This window comes from Homo sapiens, chromosome 4, assembly GCF_000001405.40.
Source record: "Homo sapiens chromosome 4, GRCh38.p14 Primary Assembly".
Classification (NCBI taxonomy): Eukaryota; Metazoa; Chordata; class Mammalia; order Primates; family Hominidae; genus Homo; species Homo sapiens.
The window spans coordinates 188,766,734-188,786,133 of record NC_000004.12 but is presented as its reverse complement, the minus strand read 5'-3'; the positions used below and the strand labels follow the sequence as shown (position 1 = coordinate 188,786,133).

General features: G+C 37.7%; 2 long non-coding RNA genes across 6 annotated transcripts in view, besides 1 other annotated feature; one reads left to right on the top strand and one right to left on the bottom strand.

The window, feature by feature from the left end:
- LOC101930028 (uncharacterized) overlaps positions 1 to 17,152 on the top strand; it is a 49,521-nt gene extending 32,369 nt beyond the window's left edge. For 3 of the 5 annotated variants that reach the window (NR_188358.1, NR_188359.1, NR_188362.1), the window contains one exon: positions 8,083 to 8,460. This is a non-coding gene — a long non-coding RNA (uncharacterized LOC101930028). Of the gene's footprint in view, positions 1 to 2,599; positions 3,861 to 8,082; positions 8,461 to 17,062 lie in introns of those variants that run through there. The other 2 variants (NR_188360.1, NR_188361.1) reach the window with 2 other exon arrangements.
- Positions 623 to 9,477, bottom strand: LINC02508 (long intergenic non-protein coding RNA 2508). Its single transcript, NR_149102.1, has 3 exons — positions 9,367 to 9,477; positions 2,123 to 2,221; positions 623 to 838 (listed from the first exon to the last, which is right to left on the bottom strand). It is a non-coding gene; the product is annotated as a long intergenic non-protein coding RNA 2508 (long non-coding RNA).
- Positions 5,103 to 5,272: an enhancer, noted in NCBI's record as "experimental_77214 CRE fragment used in MPRA reporter constructs". NCBI's record gives its function as "activates a minimal promoter by MPRAs in K562 erythroleukemia cells, with activity observed for both the introgressed and non-introgressed 4:189702101 variant alleles {active_cell/tissue: K562}" and the evidence as "EXISTENCE:reporter gene assay evidence [ECO:0000049][PMID:34662402]".
- Positions 17,153 to 19,400: the final 2,248 nt, after the last annotated feature.

Here is a 19,400-nt window from a genome sequence, read left to right as displayed (position 1 = left end):
CTGTGCCAGGTTAAAATTAGACTTTTAACAGAAGACTTGGTCACAGCATAATGAAAGATTAGATGATATTATCAGTGTAGTACCATATAGATTATGTTATGTCATTTTTAAACTGTGAAGTCACTTTGTAGTTAAGTGGATTTTAAAGCAAACAAAACGGCCAAAAATATTTCTATAATGTCTTACCAAGTAAATGACGTCTAAAGACTTTGTAGTATAAATTATTTTCTGCTCATTGTCCATTTTTTTCACTCAGCCACGAATAACCTTTTATCTCTGAAGGCATTTTGCTTCCTGCCTTCGATAGCTCTTTTTCCCTTTTAACACTTGACTATCTCATGTGGCTGTGAACTACAAATTCTTCTTTTGTTCCTACAAGTCAAAGGAAGCATTATTAGATCTTTACAATATCATGAAGACTATTTTTATTTACTTTTTAATGAGAAGAGGGTAGTTAAATTGTTTTCTTAGGAGATAGTAATAAGCAGCTAAGAGTTCTATTGAGAGTCTCTCAGAGTTTCATAACTATTTCAATCATGTGGACTCTATTTTAAATGAAATATATGCTTAAACGCTATTTGTAAATTACTAAAGTGTGTAGGTGGAAAGAGTTAAGTTAGCCTAAGTTTTAATGATATATTTTACTAGAAATGTTCTGCAACTGTTTTCATCCTAATGTTTTTTGAAGAGGATATTGTGAGAGCCCTCTGCCTCTAAATGTATATTACCCTGGTTTGCTTCCATCCGCCTACATATAAACCACAGATTATTTTCCAGTACATGCAGGTCATCTTTATCTGATACTTCTCAGCTTCTCTGTCCAAGAAAAGTCCCTGCCCTGTATAGGAAATAACAAAATAAATGATGTAAGATGAAAGAAGGTGTGTGGCTCTACATCCTTTGAGATGGATGTACCTGAACATGGACAATAAGCATCCAGATACTGGCCTGAGGAGCAGATGTTGTGGTCACTGAATTTCAAATATTTCATTTGCTAAACACCAGGCTATGGGGGACAGACATACTTGCTGACAAGATTTTGTCTTTGTGAGAATTATAGTTTTCACTGTGCATTAATCAATTCATCTTGGTTCTCGCTGTGCAGGGGCCAAGGGTTGGTTTCTTGAATTAGGAAGTGTTAGTCGCTCTAAGGCTGACCACGTGGGGCCCTAGGGGAAAGCTCCCTGTAGGCTTCCAATGGAAAGGGTGTGGATCACCAGCTTTCTCAGCTTTCTCACTATTGTCTCTTGTAGTCTGTGCATTCTTACAGCCATTGCTGGAGAAAAAAATTAAGCTCATACTAAAGAGTCATATATACATATATCTCAAAAGCATATCTTTGAGTATGAAGAAGACAGTGAATTATTTATTCACAGAAATAATATCTAAAGGGACCCTTTGCAAAGGGACAACTTCAATAAAAAGAAAATCATGCTTCTGTAAGTTGACTGATTGTGACAGCATTCTCTAGAACACATAATAATTAGCTGTGTGTTTCTTACAGAGGTGATTGTCTTATTGCTTTTTAAAACACGTGCTAATGCTTTAATGTTTTGTTTTCAGTAACAGTTTCACAATACTTGAACATTCCCCCAAAAAGAAATTTTTATAAATCTGTCATTTGGTGAAATTTTATGTCTTCAAGTCTTCCAAAGTTAACAAGTAGCAATTTTCTTTGCTTAGACTATTTTCAATACTTAAATTTTTAAATATTCTGCTGCAGAACAGGTATGAATTTAGAAAGCCATAATAAGCAATTCAGCTTGTAATCTTAAAATATCGTTCACTCAACGAGATATTATTTAATCTAGTTCTACGAGTACAAAATACTAACTTTAAAAATGTACTTCTGGTGAAAGTAGTCAGAGTTCTTTTACAGAGAAAATAATGTATTTGTAGAGGTAATAATCCTGGTTCTCAACGACAGATTTTCCTATAATAAGCATTGAGCTAAATGCCATTGTAAAATTAATTATAGATGAGTGCAAATTAATAACATGTATAATGCTGGTCACAAGTCATCTTGATGTCTGTTACTAATTGCAAATCACTGTTACTTGTAAAATTAGAAGTTAAATGCTAGCGATTTTGCTCTAATTGGGAAGATCCAAAGGGCTCTTGCCTGAATGCAGCGCATGTCTGAAGCGTTCAGATGGAAGCTGGTTGTGCAGGCACGCTGCCTCAGGGCATGTGTTCGGGAGCAGTGGGACTCCGGCAAGGACTACAAGATACAAATTGCAAAGCATAGACATATGTAGGGAATTGAAACTGAGTGCTCATGAGGCAGAAGTTAGACAAACATTCACGGGCAAAGTTACAAAAAAGAGTTAAACACAAAAACATACTCTAGAAATCTTGGTAATCAAAACCAGATCTGAACCCATGCCATTTATTTGATGCCAATTCTACCACACTTACAATTGAGCTCATGTAAACTAGACATATGGAAATTGCTCATTTAGCCAAGGAACTTGATGTAAATGATGTTAACATTGCTGCCAGAGCTGTGTGGTTTTTAACCCAATTGAGGTTGTGTTTGTTGTCTTATTTCTGCAACTCTAACAAAATAGAACAAATTTTATTTCACTTTTTTTAATAGAACTATGTAGAGGAATGGTCATTCCTCAACTCCCATGACTGGGATTCAAGGAGAGCTGTTCTCAGTCATCTGCATGTGTTTGACTTTCCTGATTGATGACTGCCTTATCTCCATCCCCTGGGAACAGTTCTAAAATATGAACTGAAAGTCAGGGGTCAGTGGATGCTGCGTCTGTGAGACACAACTTCAGAGGTGACTAAACTCTCCCTAGAGCTGCCCTCCTCGAAGATCTTTGTCCTCGGAAATTGTCAGGGGAATCTCAATTTGGCAGCACCAGATGTCCCAGAGTCTAGGGAGTCATCAGGCACTAACTTGGGTTTTTTTAAAGTTTGAATCACAGTTGATTCGGAAAATGATGGAAAGCTGTCAACTAAAGGAAGGTCTGTCGCTCTTTTTATTTTTGCATTGTCTTCAGAGGGAGGCCTTCCTAGAATCCTGACTAGAATTAACTAGATCTGAAAGGAAGGCACGATTTGAAGAGGAGAGGTTTCTACCTAAGCCTTGATGACAAGAGTTCTGAGGATGCTGTGGGCCTGGAGAGAAAACTCAAGCTAAACCAAGTAACTCAGTTTAAATGTAGTTCAGGAGTGATTTGCAGTGACATTGCTTCCTCATATCCTGAGTGTGCCAGTTGGGAAGGCATTCTAGATTTTTAAAGTATATAGCAAATTTCCATGACTTTCCAAACAGTCCCAATTCCCTTTGAGAGAGAAAAACAAACGCTGTTTTGTATTAGAGTGGTTCTCTACCTATCTTCACAGCAAAGGGTCTTAGAACCTTAGAAGATTTGATAATATTTGAAAAATGGAGTCAGAAATTTCTATTGAAGTATTACTATAATTTTGTAGCTCTCTGTGAACCCCACAGGAAATGGGGAATTTGTAACACGTATAACCAGACTAAACAGCCAAGAAGTTTTAGTTTAGACACTGTCCAGGAGAGCTGTTGTGGGGCTTGCAAAGACGAGGGAGATGCAGACCCTGCCTTGGACTTCCTCCTCTGGGAGAAACAGGAAAGGGCCTGGGGTCCATGAAAAGGGCCTCACAGGAGCCAGAGGAGGACATGGACGTGGTCATATTGTCTGCAGAGAGTGTTTGGAAGCCGTGAGCAGATCCTGTGGTTTCAGTAGCTCCCATTTCCTGGACTAGCAGGGGGAAAAAGATGAAGAGATCAATAATAGGTTTGATAAAAGTCCAAATATGCCTTAATAAGAAATTGTCTCTCATGGAGTATACTTCATTAAAGAAAGAAATTTAGAATACCTGCTTTTTTTTTGTTCAGACAATCAGATCAAACAGAGAACATCCACTTTGGTTAGATTATGTGCTGTCATGCAAAGCAATTTACCATAGACATGTACAAAAGAAAAGCTTTTTGTGTGTCTGACAAGAAGTGTATTAGGCTATTTTTTTCTTTCAAACAATGCTTATTACTTTACTGGTCATGGTTTATTGAAACTGTATTAGGGATACTGCAAGTGAAATAGTTCACAAGGTATGTAGCACTTAGTAAATATTCAGGATGCTTTGATTTTACTCTATTATTGGGATGAGCTAGAGGAGGGGGCTGGAGAAGGGGAAATAGGAAAAAGAGAAGAGTGGAAAAGGTCAAGGTTCTTCGTGGCTGTAAAATATTTCCTGTGCTGATCCTTTCCTTCGAGCTGAGAGCTGACCCCTGGCTGTCATGCGTGGACTGGCAGCCTCTTCACTCTCAGCCTTGAGGCCTCCTCTTGAGAGTCAGAAGCTTCTAATTCACAAGTCTGAAACACAGGCTTAGGGCTAATGCACTGATGGTGCAACTGGCTCCTAGAAAATATATCTATAAATTGCATTTTGTATATAATTACATATCAAATTTGTAACTTCTAACTGCTCACTTTTCAAAAAAAAAATGTCATATCCTCTCTGGTTTTTTATTTTATTATTTTTTTTTTGACAGAGTCTCACTCTGTCGCCCAGGCTGGAGTGCAGTGGTGTGATCTCGGCTCACTGCAAGCTCCACCTCCTGGGTTCAAGCAAATCTCCTGCCTCAGACTCCCAAGTAGCTGGGACTAAAGGTGCCCGCCACCACGCCCAGCTAATTTTTTGTATTTTTAGTTGAGATGGGGTTTCACCATGTTAGCCAGGATGGTCTTGATATCCTGACCTCGTGATCCGCCCGCCTCGGCCTCCCAAAGTGCTGATATTACAGGTGTGAGCCACTGCACACCGCCCGCCGTCCTGTTTTTAATATAAGTATTTTCATTACTATACTCTGGAGTACCTGGAATATAGATTCTAGTTTTTCCACAGGCTTTTCAACAGACTGAAGAATTGAAAGATTTTACACTCATATTGTTATTTATTTGAATATGCACAAGAAACAGTGAGTTTTCGTTCTCATAGTGTGATGTGAACGTATAAATACTGGCTGATTTACTTGATATTACTATTTTTAATTCTCCTTAAAATATCTTGGAGATTTTTCTCTTCTGATGTTATAATGATATTAATTTATGGCAAAAACATTTTTTCAGTATTGCTTTACTGAATATAAACAACAAAATTTTAAAGACCAATAAATACAAGTAAAAGCCCCCTTTTCTAATTCCGTAAGGCACGTAGCAGGCATTGTCCTTGACCACACTGAGTCACAGCACTGTGTCCTCTTGTGGGTAGTCACATCTGATACTGAACCACAGCACTGCGGTCTCTCATGGGTAGTTAAACCCGGGTGTCCAGTCAAATAAACACGTTTATTTTTAATAACATTACTTTTCAGGGAGCTGTAAATAAGACAGAAACATTTTCTTTAAAAATTTTAGAAGAAGGGGCAGGTGTATGTGAACATGTATGCTTTTACAACTTGCAAAAAAAAACTATATGGAATTTTTTTTCACTACTGTAGAAGTAAAAGTATCCTAGATTTGGGTGGTGATACAGTTTCATCCCCATCCTGAAAAAAGTAGAACTTTTGAAAGAAAAATATGCATCCCATAGACCTCAAATGTAAAGTTGGTGTTTAATAATACATGCAATTTCTCTACTATTAAAGTTTGATATCTGGAGCTAATACGCTCATTCCTGAAGGATTATTTTCCCAAAACACATTGGGGCCAGTGTTCGGTTCTGTGTGTAAGGGTCCGTCCATAGTGTGTTTCTCGCAATTCCATCCAGTCACCTAGTTAACAGACCAGACGGTTTCTGAGGCAACTATTCTTTCCCTTAAATGAAACATGTACCACTATTTTACAAGCTCTTATCAGATACTATGGGATGTGATTTGCTTCAAGCTGTGAGGCAAATCTGGCAATCCAGTTAAAATCAACATGAAAGTTTGTAAAACAATTTGTGGTCAGCAGTGAAAAGTGCTGGGTTGATCTCTAAATGAGTAAAAATGTTACCCATGAGGGCAAGAAGTACAGGATAACGTACAGATAATGTTCTGTTTTTTTTTTTTTTTTTTTTTTTTTTTGCATCTGCCAGCGGGTGCAATTTTAAATAAATTAACCCAGCACTCCCATGAATGCCACGGGTATTGCAGAACTTGTATTTCTAATTTTCATTCATTAGCTCACCTTTCTTAGCTTTGTTTTTATAATACATAACTTGGCCAAGATATTATTAGGTTTTAGTTTCTTAAAATGTATTTGTTTTTAGACCATCCTCACTAGGTGAAGAATGTTGTCTCTCAGTCTCCAGGCTGGGCCCCACACACACACCCAGAACGTATGTGAGCCTCTGAGGAGCAATGAGTACACCACTGTGACTCGTTACTGAGTTGGCCTACTCACTGCTTCTTTAAAATTGCCCTTGACTTTCGGAACAACATTCTTTTAAAGTCAGCTATTTATTTTCCACAGGGCTGGTGTGTGCTACTGTATATTTTAGCTTCCATCTTTTCATCATTTACTCACAAGGCAACCCATCATCTAAAATAATACAATTAAGCAAAGGCTCAGCCAAAGAGTGAATATCCCTGTATGGGAACGCTGGAAAACTGGCCAGCAAGATTTCCCCAGAGGTGTGCATAGCTCACTTGAATTCTAAAAGTGTTTCAGCTAAATTACATAGGTGCCAACGTTAAGGTGAAAAAATAAGATCTTACACAATGATATATTTTAAATCTATATCATATGGATTCCTCATGTTAGCACAAATAAGATGTTACTTGTCATCGCTAAAGAACAGAGGTGACAACAATAACAAGTACTTTTATATTTATACTTGTGAAGCTTTAATTAAATTCTAAAAATTAAAGCTAAGATCTCATTCCCATGAGAGATCCAGTCATAGCATAAGGATGCCAAGTGTTACCCTATCCCGATTAACTTTACCAACAGAATTTGAGGAATCCAGGCTTAATATATTTTAACCACGATTCTCTGCTGAATGAACCTGGTTGAGCTGTTTCTACTTCTCCGAGGCTTGGTTCGATGTCTTTGGCAAATAGCCCACTCCTGTAGCTGTGCCAGTTGGAATGTAAAAGTTAAGCCCATTGGCCTTTTTGCTGACCTGTTATTAAAGCATTTGATGTAAGTTTCAGCCACTTCACACACTGTCATCCAGCCCTTAAGGAGTATTGAGGTAATCTTTTACAAAAATGAAGTAACAGGAGATGTCTTTTCATGCATAATACATTATGCTGGACCTTGCAGACTTCAACCCAGGATATCTCAGCCACTGATAGGTGCCAATGACAGAACTCGAAGATACTACCTCAGTCTACAGCACACGCTGCTTATATCTTTTCACTTTGTAGCTGGAAGTAGCCTTTTCCAATGGCTCCAAAGTCTGCTGATTTGCAAGCCACACTTGCAGGTGAATGCTGCAGCTTGTCTCAAGTCCTAGGGACTTGCCTCCCAAATGTAATCTTAAATAAAACATGAATCAAATTTTGTAAAGAGTTTATAAAGCAGCCCAGCCAAGTTAGCACAACTTAGTTTTAAGAGGCATTCCAATACTTACATGGTGCTTGTGGAAAAAAATCAATGTGACTTAAAGTCAGAAACCAACCGCACCATTTCTCACTGTTCTTTCCCATCGAATTCTTCACACCTGTTTGTTCAGTTTGGTTTCGGTTGTTCGGTTTCTTTTGAACTTCTGTTGTAGCATATTGTTTGCTCAGCATACTATTATTTTTCATTTTTCAGGAACTTACCTTAAATAGACATCTTTTTAATAAGCATTGTATATATATGATGGTCCCAATATATGTTGGTCTAGTCCAATATTATCCCAAATGTCATATTATGGATTAAATCAGTTTCCCTGGATTGACCAGTACACTAAGCCATCATGTATGACATTGTTTCTTAAGGAAAACCTGCCGTGAATTCAAAAAGATCCAATTTTAAATGGAGTAGTGGAGATCCTAAGTCTAGGATCCTTTATTAATGCCATGTTCCCTCTTTGCAAAATGCTAATTACTTCATATGGGAAGCCTGTGTTTGCTTAACTTTCTGTTAAGTTTATTTATTTAATTTAATTTAATTTTTTTTTCAGATGGAGTCTCACTCTGTTGCCCAGGCTGGAGTGCAATGGCACAATCTCAGCTCACCACAAGCTCCGCCTCCTGCGTTCAAGTGATTCTCCTGCCTTAGCCTTCTGAGTAGCTGGTATTACAGGTGCCTGCTACCATGGCCAGCTAAGTTTTGTATTTTTAGTAGAGACAGGGTTTCACCATGTTGGCCAGGCTGTTCTCAAACTCCTGACCTCAAGTGATCTGCCCGCCTAAGCCTCCCAAAGTGCTGGGATTACAAGCATGAGCCGCCGCACCCGGCCTCTGCTAAGTTTACAACCTGCAAATTCTATCCAAAATATATACATATTTTCTTGTATTTTTCATTTAATGCACCAAAATAAAAAAAAAATTGTTTTTCATTTTCTGCTGGTTATTACTTAGAGGCTAGATTTATTTTGTAAACTATGCCCTAAATTGTTCCTTTGACTATTTTTAAGTTTATCTACCTACTCTGAAGTGTGGAAGGTGAGAGTAATGAATTGGCCCAGGTGAAATCTAATCATAGATAATAAAGCTGCTGCTAATAAAAATGCTCAAGTAACCCTCAAGCTAAGTAAGACTCTGCCCCCAGCAAAAATAGAACTTTAAAACATGCTATGCTACCATTAATAGGAAAAAAAAATGTAAATTCATTCAAAAAGTTTAGTAAAGGAAACTTTAAATATTTTCTGAAGAACTCAAAAGGAATAGAAGCAAATTGTATAATCAAAATTCAGGATATGACTATTTAAGAAGTAATCAACTGAGCTTGCAAAACATGTATTGTAGTTTAGAGATTTTTGCAGTTTTTGCACTTTCCTACATTTCTTAAAATAAATATATAAACAAATAAATGTACAATTTCAAATTGTGATTGTTAGTATGAATATTTTAAAAGATGAAAAAAGAGCTTAAGGAAGTGTGATCTTCCCATGATGGCCTTTGCTGGCCACCCAAACTAAGATTTAATTCTCTCAATCTCACACATCCATCGTTCTTTTCCTTTGTAGTGTAGGTAGCATTTATACTCATATATTTTCCTGTTAGTTTATCGCTTGTTGGTAGAATATAAACTGCAATACGACAGGAACCATGTCTATATTATGTGTCTTCCAACGTCCAACACTACAAAATGCCTGGCACAGTAGTGGATCAAGAAAAATTATTGAGAAAAAAATGGTGGAAAGGAGCCCAGACTAACCTGCAGCTCCCACTCAGACAGACAGAGCCGCCTATGAAGACTGGCATCATGAACTTCTGCTCCAAGAACTACCACAGGAACATACCAGAAAAGCCAGGAGAATCCACAGACCCTTCTGAAGGAGGTGGTTTGCCACCGCAGGCTCCGCGGGACAGCCAAGGAACTGTGAGTTGGCTTTGCTTTCTCAGCTGGAGGCTTGTAGCCCTACTCACCGGCTGCCTGAAAATACACTCCGTGCTGTTGCGGGGACATGGTGGAAGTGAGACTGGCCCTTCAGGCTACCGGATGCGTGGGAGCTGGGTGAGGCCTGGGGCTGCCGGCTTTCCCCCACTTCCCTGGCGACATGTGTGATGCAACAGAAACAGCCATACTCTCCCTGGGAACATAACTCCATTGGCCTGGGAACCACACCCCATCCCCCAGAACAGCAGCAGCAAGCCCTGCTTAAGGACAGTCTTAGCACAGACACACGCTGAACCCTGCCCCACCTGATCATCTTTTCCTACCAGCCCTGGTAGCTGAAGACAAAGGACATAATCTCTTGGGAGCTCCATGGCCCTGCCCACCGCCTGATCCTCCCCATCCTCCAGCAGCTGATGCTCTCTTGAAAGTGCTACTCTCTGGCGCTGGGCTCACGCCTGTAATCCCAGCACTTTGGGAGGCTGAGGCAGGCAGATCACGAGGTCAGGAGATCGAGACCATCCTGGCGGTGAAACGCCATCGCTATTAAAAAAAAAAATACAAAAAATTAGCCGGGCATGGTGGCAGGCGCCTGTAGTCCCAGCTACTCTGGAGGCTGAGGCAGTAGACTGGCGTGAACCTGAGAGGCGGAGCTTGCAGTGAGCCGAGATCACGCCACTGCACTCCAGCCTGGGTAACAGAGTTAGACTCTGTCTCAAAAAAAAAGAACAAAAAGTGCTACCCCCTGGCTGGAGGCCAACCAACACAAAACTGGTACAATAAACAAAACTACAACTAAGGACCCTCACAGATTCCAATTCACTGCCCTGCTACCTCCACCAGAGCAGGTGCTGATATCCACGGCTGAGAGACATGAAGATGGATCACATCACAGAACTCTTTGCAGACACCCCCCCAGTACCCACTACCAACCCAGAGCCTGGTAGCTCCACTGGGAAGCTAGATCCAGAAAAGAAATAAGAATCACTGCAGTTTGGCTCTCAGGAATCCCCACCCTAGAGGAAAAAGGAGAGCACCACACCAAGGGAGCACCTCCATGGGACAAAAGAATCTGAACAGCAGCCTTTGAGTGCCAGATCTTCCCTCTGACATAGTCTACCCAAATGAGAAGGAACCAGAAAAAATTCTGGTAATATGACAAGACAAGGTTCTTTAGCACCTCTGTTAGATCACACTAGCTCACCAGCAATGGATCCAAACCAAGACAAAGCCTCTGAATTACCAGAAAAAGAATTCAAAAGGTTGATTATTAAGCCCATCAAGAAGGCACCAGAGAAAGGTGAAGTCCAACTTAAAGAAATTAAAAAAAAAAAAGATACAGGATATGAATGGAAAAATCTCCAATAAAATAACGTAAATAAAAAACAGTCACAACTTCTGAAAATCGAGGATACACTTAGAGGAATGCAAAATGCACTGGAAAGTCTCAGCAACAGAATCAAACAAGTAGAAGAAAGAATTTCAGAGCTTGAAGACAAGGCTTTCAAATTAATCCAATCTGACAGAGAAAAAAGAATTTTAAAAAAGGAATAAAGCCGCCAAAAAGTTTGGGATTATGGTAAATGTCCAAACCTAAGAATAATTGGTGTTCCTGAGGAAAAAGAGAAATCTGAAAGTTTGACAGACATATTCAAGGAAATAATTGAGGAAAAGTTCCCTGGCCTTGCTAGAGATTTAGACATTCAAATACAAGAAGCTCAAAGAACACCTGGAAAATTCATCACAAAAAGATCAACACCTAACTACACAGTCATCAAGTTACTTAAAGACAAAGGAAAGAATTTTAAGAGCTGTGAGGCAAAAGCATCAGGTAACCTATACAGAAAAGCCTATCAGATTAAGAGCAGTTTTCTCAGTAGAAACCCTCCAAGCCAGAAGGGATTGGAGTCCTATCTTTGGCCTCCTTAAACAAAACAATTATCAGCCAAGAATTGCGTATCCAGTGAAACTAAGCTTCATAAATGAAGGAAAGATGCAGTCTTTTTCAGACAAACAAATGCTGAGAGAATTCGCCACTACCAAGCCAGCACTACAAGAACTGCTGAAAGGAGTTCTACATCTTGAAACAAACCCTCAAAATACACCAAAGTGGAATCTCCTTAAAGCATAAATCTCACAGGACCTGTAAAACATAACACAATGAAATAAAAAAAGTATTCAGGCAACAAATAGCATGATGAATAGAATAATACCTCATATCTCAATATGAATTTTGAATGTAAATGGTCTAAATGCTCCACTTAAAAGATACAGAATGGCAGAACTCACCAAGTATCGGCTGTCTTCAAGAGAATAACCTGACACATAAGGACTCACATAAACTTAAGATAAAAAGGTGGAAAAAGATATTCCATGCAAATGGACACCAAAAGCCAGCAGGAGTACTATTCTTATATCAAACAAAACAGACTTTAAAGCAACAGCAGTTTAAAAGACAAAGAGGGACATTATACAATTATAAAAGGACTTGTCAAACAGGAAAATATCACAATTCTAAATATATATGCACCTAACACTGGAGCTACCAAATTTGTAAAATAATTACTACTAGACCTAAAAAATGAGATAGAGAGCAATGGAATAGTGGGGGACTTCAGTACTCCACTGACAGCAATAGACAGCTCATCAAGACAGAAAGTTAACAAAGAAAGAATGGACTTAAACTATACCCTACAACAAATGTACTTACCAAATATTTACAGAACATTCTACCCAATAACTGCAGAGTATACATTCTCTTCATCAGCACGTGGAACATTCTCCAAGGTAGACCATATGATAGGCCACAAAAAAAGTCTCAACACATTTAAGAAAATCGAAATTATAGCAAGTACTCTCTCAGACCACAGTGGAATAAAATTGGAAATCGACTCCAAAAGGAATCCCCAAAACCACGCACATAGAAATTAAATAACCTGCTGCTGGGTAATCACTGAGTCAACAATGAAATGAAGATGGAAATTAAAAAAGTATTTGAACTGAAAGATAATAGTGACATAACCTATCAAAACCTCTGGGATACAGCAAAAGCGATGTTAAAAGGAAAATTTATAGCATTAAATGCCTATATCAAAAAGTCTGGCTGGGCATGGTGGCTCACGCCTGTAATCCCAGCACTTTGGGAGGCCAAGACGGGCAGATCACGAGGTCGGGAGATGGAGACCAGCCTGACTAACACAGTGAAACCCCGTCTCTACTAAAAATACAAAAAAATGAGCCAGGCGTGGTGGCGGGTACCTGTAGTCCCAGCTACTCTGGAGGCTGAGGCAGGAGAATGACTTGAACCCAGGAGGAGGAGCTTGCAGTAAGCCGAGATCGCACCGGCGACTGAGCAAGACTCCATCTCAAAAAAAAAAAAAAAAAAAAAAATTTCTGAAAGAGCACATATAGACAATCTAAGGTCACAATTCAAGGAACTAGAGAAACAAGAACAAACCAAACCCAAACACAGCATAAGAACAGAAACAACCAAGATCAGAGCAGAACTAAATTAATTTGAAACAAAAAAAATACAAAAGATAAATGAAACAAAAAACTGGTTCTTTGAAATGATAAATAAAACTGATAATCCATTAGAGAGATTAACCAAGAAGAGAAGAGAGAGGATCCAAATAAGCTCAATTAGAAACAGAATGGGAAATATTACAATCAATACCACAGAAAAACAAAAGATCATTCAGGGCTACTATGAACACATTTACATGCATATACTAGAAAACCTAGAGGATAGAGATAAATTCTTGGAAATATGCAACCATCCTAGATTCAACCAGGAAGAAATAGAGACTTTAAACAGACCAATAACAAGCAGTGAGATTGAAATGGTAATTTAAAAATTGCCACCAAAAGAAGTCCAGGACCAGATGGATTCACAGCTGAATTCTATCAGACATTCAAAGAAGAACTGATACCAATGATATTGACACTATTCCAAAAGAGAGAGAAAGAAGGAATCCTCCTTAAATCATTCTATGAAGGCAATATCGCCCTAATACCAAAACCAGGAAAGGACATAACAAAAAAAGAAAACTACAGACCAATATCCCTGATGAACATAGATGCAAAAATCCTCAACAAAATCCTAGCTAACAGAATTCAACAGCATATCAAAAACATAATTCATGATCAAGTGTATTTCAGTCCAGGGATGCAGGGATGGTTTAACATTCACAAGTCAATAAATGTGACACATCATATGTATAGTGTTAAAAATGACATGATTATCTCAATAGATGCAGAAAAAAACATATGACAAAATCCAGCATCCCTTTATGATTAAAATGCTTAGCAAAATGAGCAGAGAAGGCACATACCTTAAGTTAATAAAAGCCATCAGCCAACATTATACTGAATGGGAACAAGATATACTGGCACAAGACAAGGATGCCCACTTTCACCACTTCTATTCAACATAGTACTGGAAGTCCTAACCAGAACAATCAGACAAGAGAAAGAAATAAAGGGCATCCAAATCAGTAAAGAGGAAGTCAAACTGCTACTGTTTGCTGATGACATGATTGTATACCCAGAAATCCCTGAAGACTCAAAAAATTCCTAGAACTGGTAAATGAATTCAACAATGTTTCAGGATACAAAATTAATGTACACACATCAGTAGCCCTGCTATACAACAACAGTGAACAAGCTGAGAATCAAATCAGGAACTCAGCCCCTGTTACAATAGCTGCAAAAAAGCAAACAAACAAGAGCAACAAAAAACTTAGGAATATACTTAAACAAAGTGAAGGACCACTACAAGAAAAACTACAAACCACTGCTGAAAGAAATTGTAGATGACACAAACAAATGGAAACACATCCCATGTTCATGGGTGAGTAGAATCAATTTTGTGAAAATGATCATATTGCCAAAAGCAATCTACAAATTCAATACAATTTCCATCAAAATACCACCATCATTCTTCATAGAACTAGAAAAAATCCTAAAATTCATATAGAACCAAAAAAGAGCCTGCATAGTCACAGCAAGACTAAGCAAAAAGAACAAATTTGGAGTCATTATGTTACCTGACATCAAACTATACTATAAGGCCATAGTCACCAAAACAGCATGGTACTGGTATAAAAATAGGCATATAGACCAAAGGAACAGAATAGAGAAGCCAGAAGTAAAGTCAAATACTTACAGTCAACTGACTTTGACAAAGCAAACAAAAACATAAAGTGGGGAAAAGACACCCTATTTAACAAATGGTGCCAGGATAATTGGCAGCCACATGGAGAATGAAGCTAGATCCTCGTCTCTCACCCTACACAAAAATCAACTCAAGGTGGGAGACTTAAGTCTAGTACCCAAAACCATAGAAATTCTAGGAGATAACATCAGAAAAAACCCTTCTAGACATTGGCTTAGGCAAAAATTTCATAACCATGAAATTTCATGTCTTAAATATTGCTTTTGGCAATATGATCATTTCATGACTTAATTAAACTAATTAATTTCATGACTTAATTAAACTAAAAAGCTTCTGCATGGCAAAAGAAATAATCAACAGAAGAAACAGACAACCCACAGAGTGGGAGGAAATCATTGCAATCTAAACATCTGACAAAGGACTAATATCCAGAATATACAAGAAACTCAAAACAGCATGAAAAAACAATCCTATCAAAAAGCAAGCTATGGACATGAATAGACAATTCTCAAAAAAAGATATACAAATAGCCAACAAACATATGAAAAAATGCTTGACATCACTAATTATCAGGGAAATGCAAATCAAAACTACAATGTGATACCTCCTCACTCCTGCAAGAATGGCCATGATTTGGTTTGGCCATGTCCCCACCCAAATCTTATCTTGAATTGTAACTCCCACAATTCCCACATTTCATGGGAAGAACCCAGTGGGAGGTAATTGAATCATGGGGGAGGATCTTTCCCCTGCTGTTCTCCTGATATTGAAGAAGCCTCACAAGATCTGACGGTTTTAAAAACAGGAATTTCCCTGCACAAGCTCTCTTCTCTTGTCTGCCACCATGTGAGATGTGCCTTTCACCTTCCACCATGATTGTCAGGCCTCCCTAGCCACGTGGAGCTGTAAGCCCATAAAACCTCTTTCTTTTGTAAATTGCCTAGTCTTGGGTATGTCTTTATCAGCAGTGTGAAAACAGACTAATACAGGCCATAATTTAAACATAAAAAAATAATAAATGTTGGTGTGGATGTGGTGAAAAGGGAATTTTTACATTGCTGGAGGGAATGTAAACTACTACAACCACTATGAAAATCAGTGTCAAGATTCCTTAAAGAACTGAAAGTAGATCTACCATTTGATCCAGCAATCCCACTCCTGGTTATCTACCCAAAGGAAAGAAATCATATGAAAAAGATATTTGCACACGCATGTTTATAGCAGTACAATTCACAATTGCAAAAATATCCATCAATGAGTAGATAAAGAAAATGTATACACACACATATGTGTGTATGTGTATATATACATACATACACACACACATTCCATGGAATACTAGACAGCCATAAAAAGGAAAGAAGTAATGATATTCACAGCAACCTGGATGGAATTGGAGACCTTTATTCTAAGTGGAGTAACTCAGGAATAGAAAACTGAACATCCTATGTTCTCACTCATAAGTGGGAGCTAAGCTATGAGGATGCAAAGGCATAAGAATGACACAATGAACTTTGGGGACTGGGGCAAAAGGTGAGAGGGTGGTGATGGATAAAAGACTACACAGTGGGTACAGTGTGCATTTTTCGAGTGATGGATACACCACAATCTCAGAAATCACCACTAAAGAACTTACTCATGTAACCAAACACCACCTGTTCCCCAAAAACCTACTGAAATAAGAAAACTAAAAGAGGAAAAATTATTGAAAGAAAGAGTGTTGAATGTGCATGTAATTCAATGGACACTGTTGGCAACTGAAAAACTATATGCAGTCTCATATAAAGGATAAAAAAATGAAGATAGTTGTTTTGGATTCTGAAAGGTTGTGCAAGAGATGTTTAATAAAAGAAACTCACAGGACCTAGGTTTTGTAATAGAGAGGTAGAGGAGACGGTGGACTGAAGTATTAGAAGAGAAATAACCAATAGAGCCATTAAATAACATAATCTGTAGGTGAAACAGAGCACCCACTCTATGGAAACGAATCTAGTACCCATAAAGTAGTTGATGGAGCTCCTCAGAAAGAAAGGAGATTTTATTTGCATTAGATATGTATTATAAAACTAGGACCTTGTTTTTAGGGATGACAGTGTAATTGTGAGAATATTTCACAAAAGAAGAAATATAAATCCAACTTCTACAGCATTGATAAGAATATACATTTATTTCCCAAGGATTTCATGGTGAGAAGAAACTCAGGAGGCACATCAAACATTAAACCAAAACATCCCTGGTTACATCCCTGGCCTTTTCTCCTCATTACAGATATCCTCACCCTTTTAGAATGACTTTAAATCTCTCGATTCTGTCTTCCACGTAAACACGTTTTAGCTTCTGCGACTGTCACTCTAATCCCATTATCCTCTTACTCAACTTCAAATTTTTACTGTTAGGCCTAATGTTTTTCTTTTTTTTTTTTTAGATGGATAAATCCAGCCTTATTTTGCTACTCCAAAGTCATCTGCACCTATCACCTCAGAATTCATTCTTTTTTTTAAAAAAAAAAAAAAAAGGCCTGAGGAAAGGAAAGAATGGTAAGTAGCTAGTAAAATAATTTAAATGCTTTACACCACATGAGAAATCTACATATATTATAGAAAGTGTGCTAAAGGGAATCAATACGCTCACCTTGAAATCTCTAGATGCCGAAGTTCCATTGCTGGAGAATAAGGCACAAAGAATTCTGCATGAGGGCCCCAAAATCTTTGAGAAGAATTTATAAAAAGGACTTTTAGAATGGTGGTACATACTTAAGGGATGAAGCTAAGATCTTAAAAGAAAAAACAAAACAATAGGAAAAAGCAAAATCAAAAAGAAACAAAGGAGCTAATAGATGTCCCCGCTTATTTTGGCAAAAAAAGATGATTTAGATTGGACCGTTGTGGCTTGTTGTAACTAGTTAGTTATTGAAGAGATAAAGAGTTCTGATTGTGACACTGAGGAGACTCAAATGAGGTGAAAAAAGAACAGAAATAGCCACAAATTCTTGAGTAGTAGTTTAAATTACTGGAATGACCATGACGCTGTTTAAGATGTTAATAAATAGTTGTATTCAATGCTGAGGGGACCCCATCCCCTGGAATTAATGAGAGAAAGGAACACAGTTGCAGAGCTGGATACAAGGGTAGCTCAGTGACAGCACATGTCAAAGTCACCACTGCACCAAGCACCCAAGTCTGGCCAAGTGTGACAGCCCGTCATTTCCATGACCTTCGCACATCTTCCTTAATCTTGATTAGCATTCTCAAAGTCAATCTAATTTCTCACTCAGTGAGAGGCCTTCACTTTTCAAAAATTCTTCATCTTTGGGATAGTTAAGAATATGATATTTAGGATAGAGGAAAGCTTTCTAAATTGTCCAAACTTATTACACAAAATGTACATTGTTATTCAGAGCCATTATATTAACATCATTTTTATACAATGCTGAATTATTAGTGATATTGAGGAATTCATACTAAGTGAATCCAAACATTGATTTTTCTAAACATCTATGATTTTTCCAAACATTTGTGACTTTTCAGATCTTGTGACTGCCTTTTTAAAATTTTTCTGACCTGCTAATCAGGTCACTGTCATTTTTTGTTTTGTCAGTCTCTCTCTCTCTCTCCCGCCCTCTCTATCTCTGTGTCTCTCTCCATATATAAATGGAAATATATATATATCTGTTATGGTCTGAATGTGTACCCCAAAATTCATGTGTTGGAAATTTCGTTTTCCATGCAACAGTGTTGGGAGATGGAGTTTAATGGGAGGTGATTCAGTCATGAGACACTGCCCTCATGAATTGACTCATTCCACTAAAAAAAGAACTATTCTGCTCCTCTGCCATGTGGGGACACAGCATTCATCCCCTTGTTGTCCATTTGCCTTTCGTCATGTAAGAATTCAGCAAGAAAGTCCTCACCAGATGCTGGTGCCTGGATCTTGGACTTTTCAGCCTCCAGAACCATGATAAATACATTTCTATTCTTTGTAATTACCAAGTCTGTGCTATTCTATGACAATGCACAAACAAACTAAGACATGATCTATGTCTATCTATCTATCTATCTATCTATCTATCTATCTATCTATCATCTATCTATCATTTATCTATTTGTCCTGCTGTTTTTCTTCTGAAATGGGCTTTTAAATGTGAACATTTTACTATGTTTGAAATAATTTTAAAATAATACGATCCAAATGAAAGAAAAATGAGCTGTTTAATAAGTAAAGTGTTTATATTTCAATGCAAGCAATTTTTGAACTGAATTTTGCCTAAAAATTATCTTTCTTTCTCTGTCACACACACACACATACATATTTATAATGCCATCATCCTAGCGGACCATTCAGTAAAATAAACATTATGGACAACCTATTCTCTCTTTGTTAAAAATATTACTCTAGTTAAATGCACCCAGTGTATATTAAGCTTATGACTTTTGTCAGTATATTACTTTTTTTGAACTTAACAAACCAGAATTTGGGGTACAATTTATTTTCATTTTTTATTTAGTTAAAATAACATTGATTTGTGTATTTGAGTTTAATTTAAAATTCATAAAAGACACATTTTTTTCTTCCTCAAAATTGGGCATAATTAATTGAAGTCACTATGTTTACTTGCTATAATTATACTTTGGGTAGATGAATAAAGAAGAATTATGTAGTTTGAACACATAGTTAAAAGTTCTTTAAAACTACATTTGTGTTTTTAGAAGGAAATTGTATACAATCCTATTAGCTCATTTATTTGGACTTTTACCATTACTCTA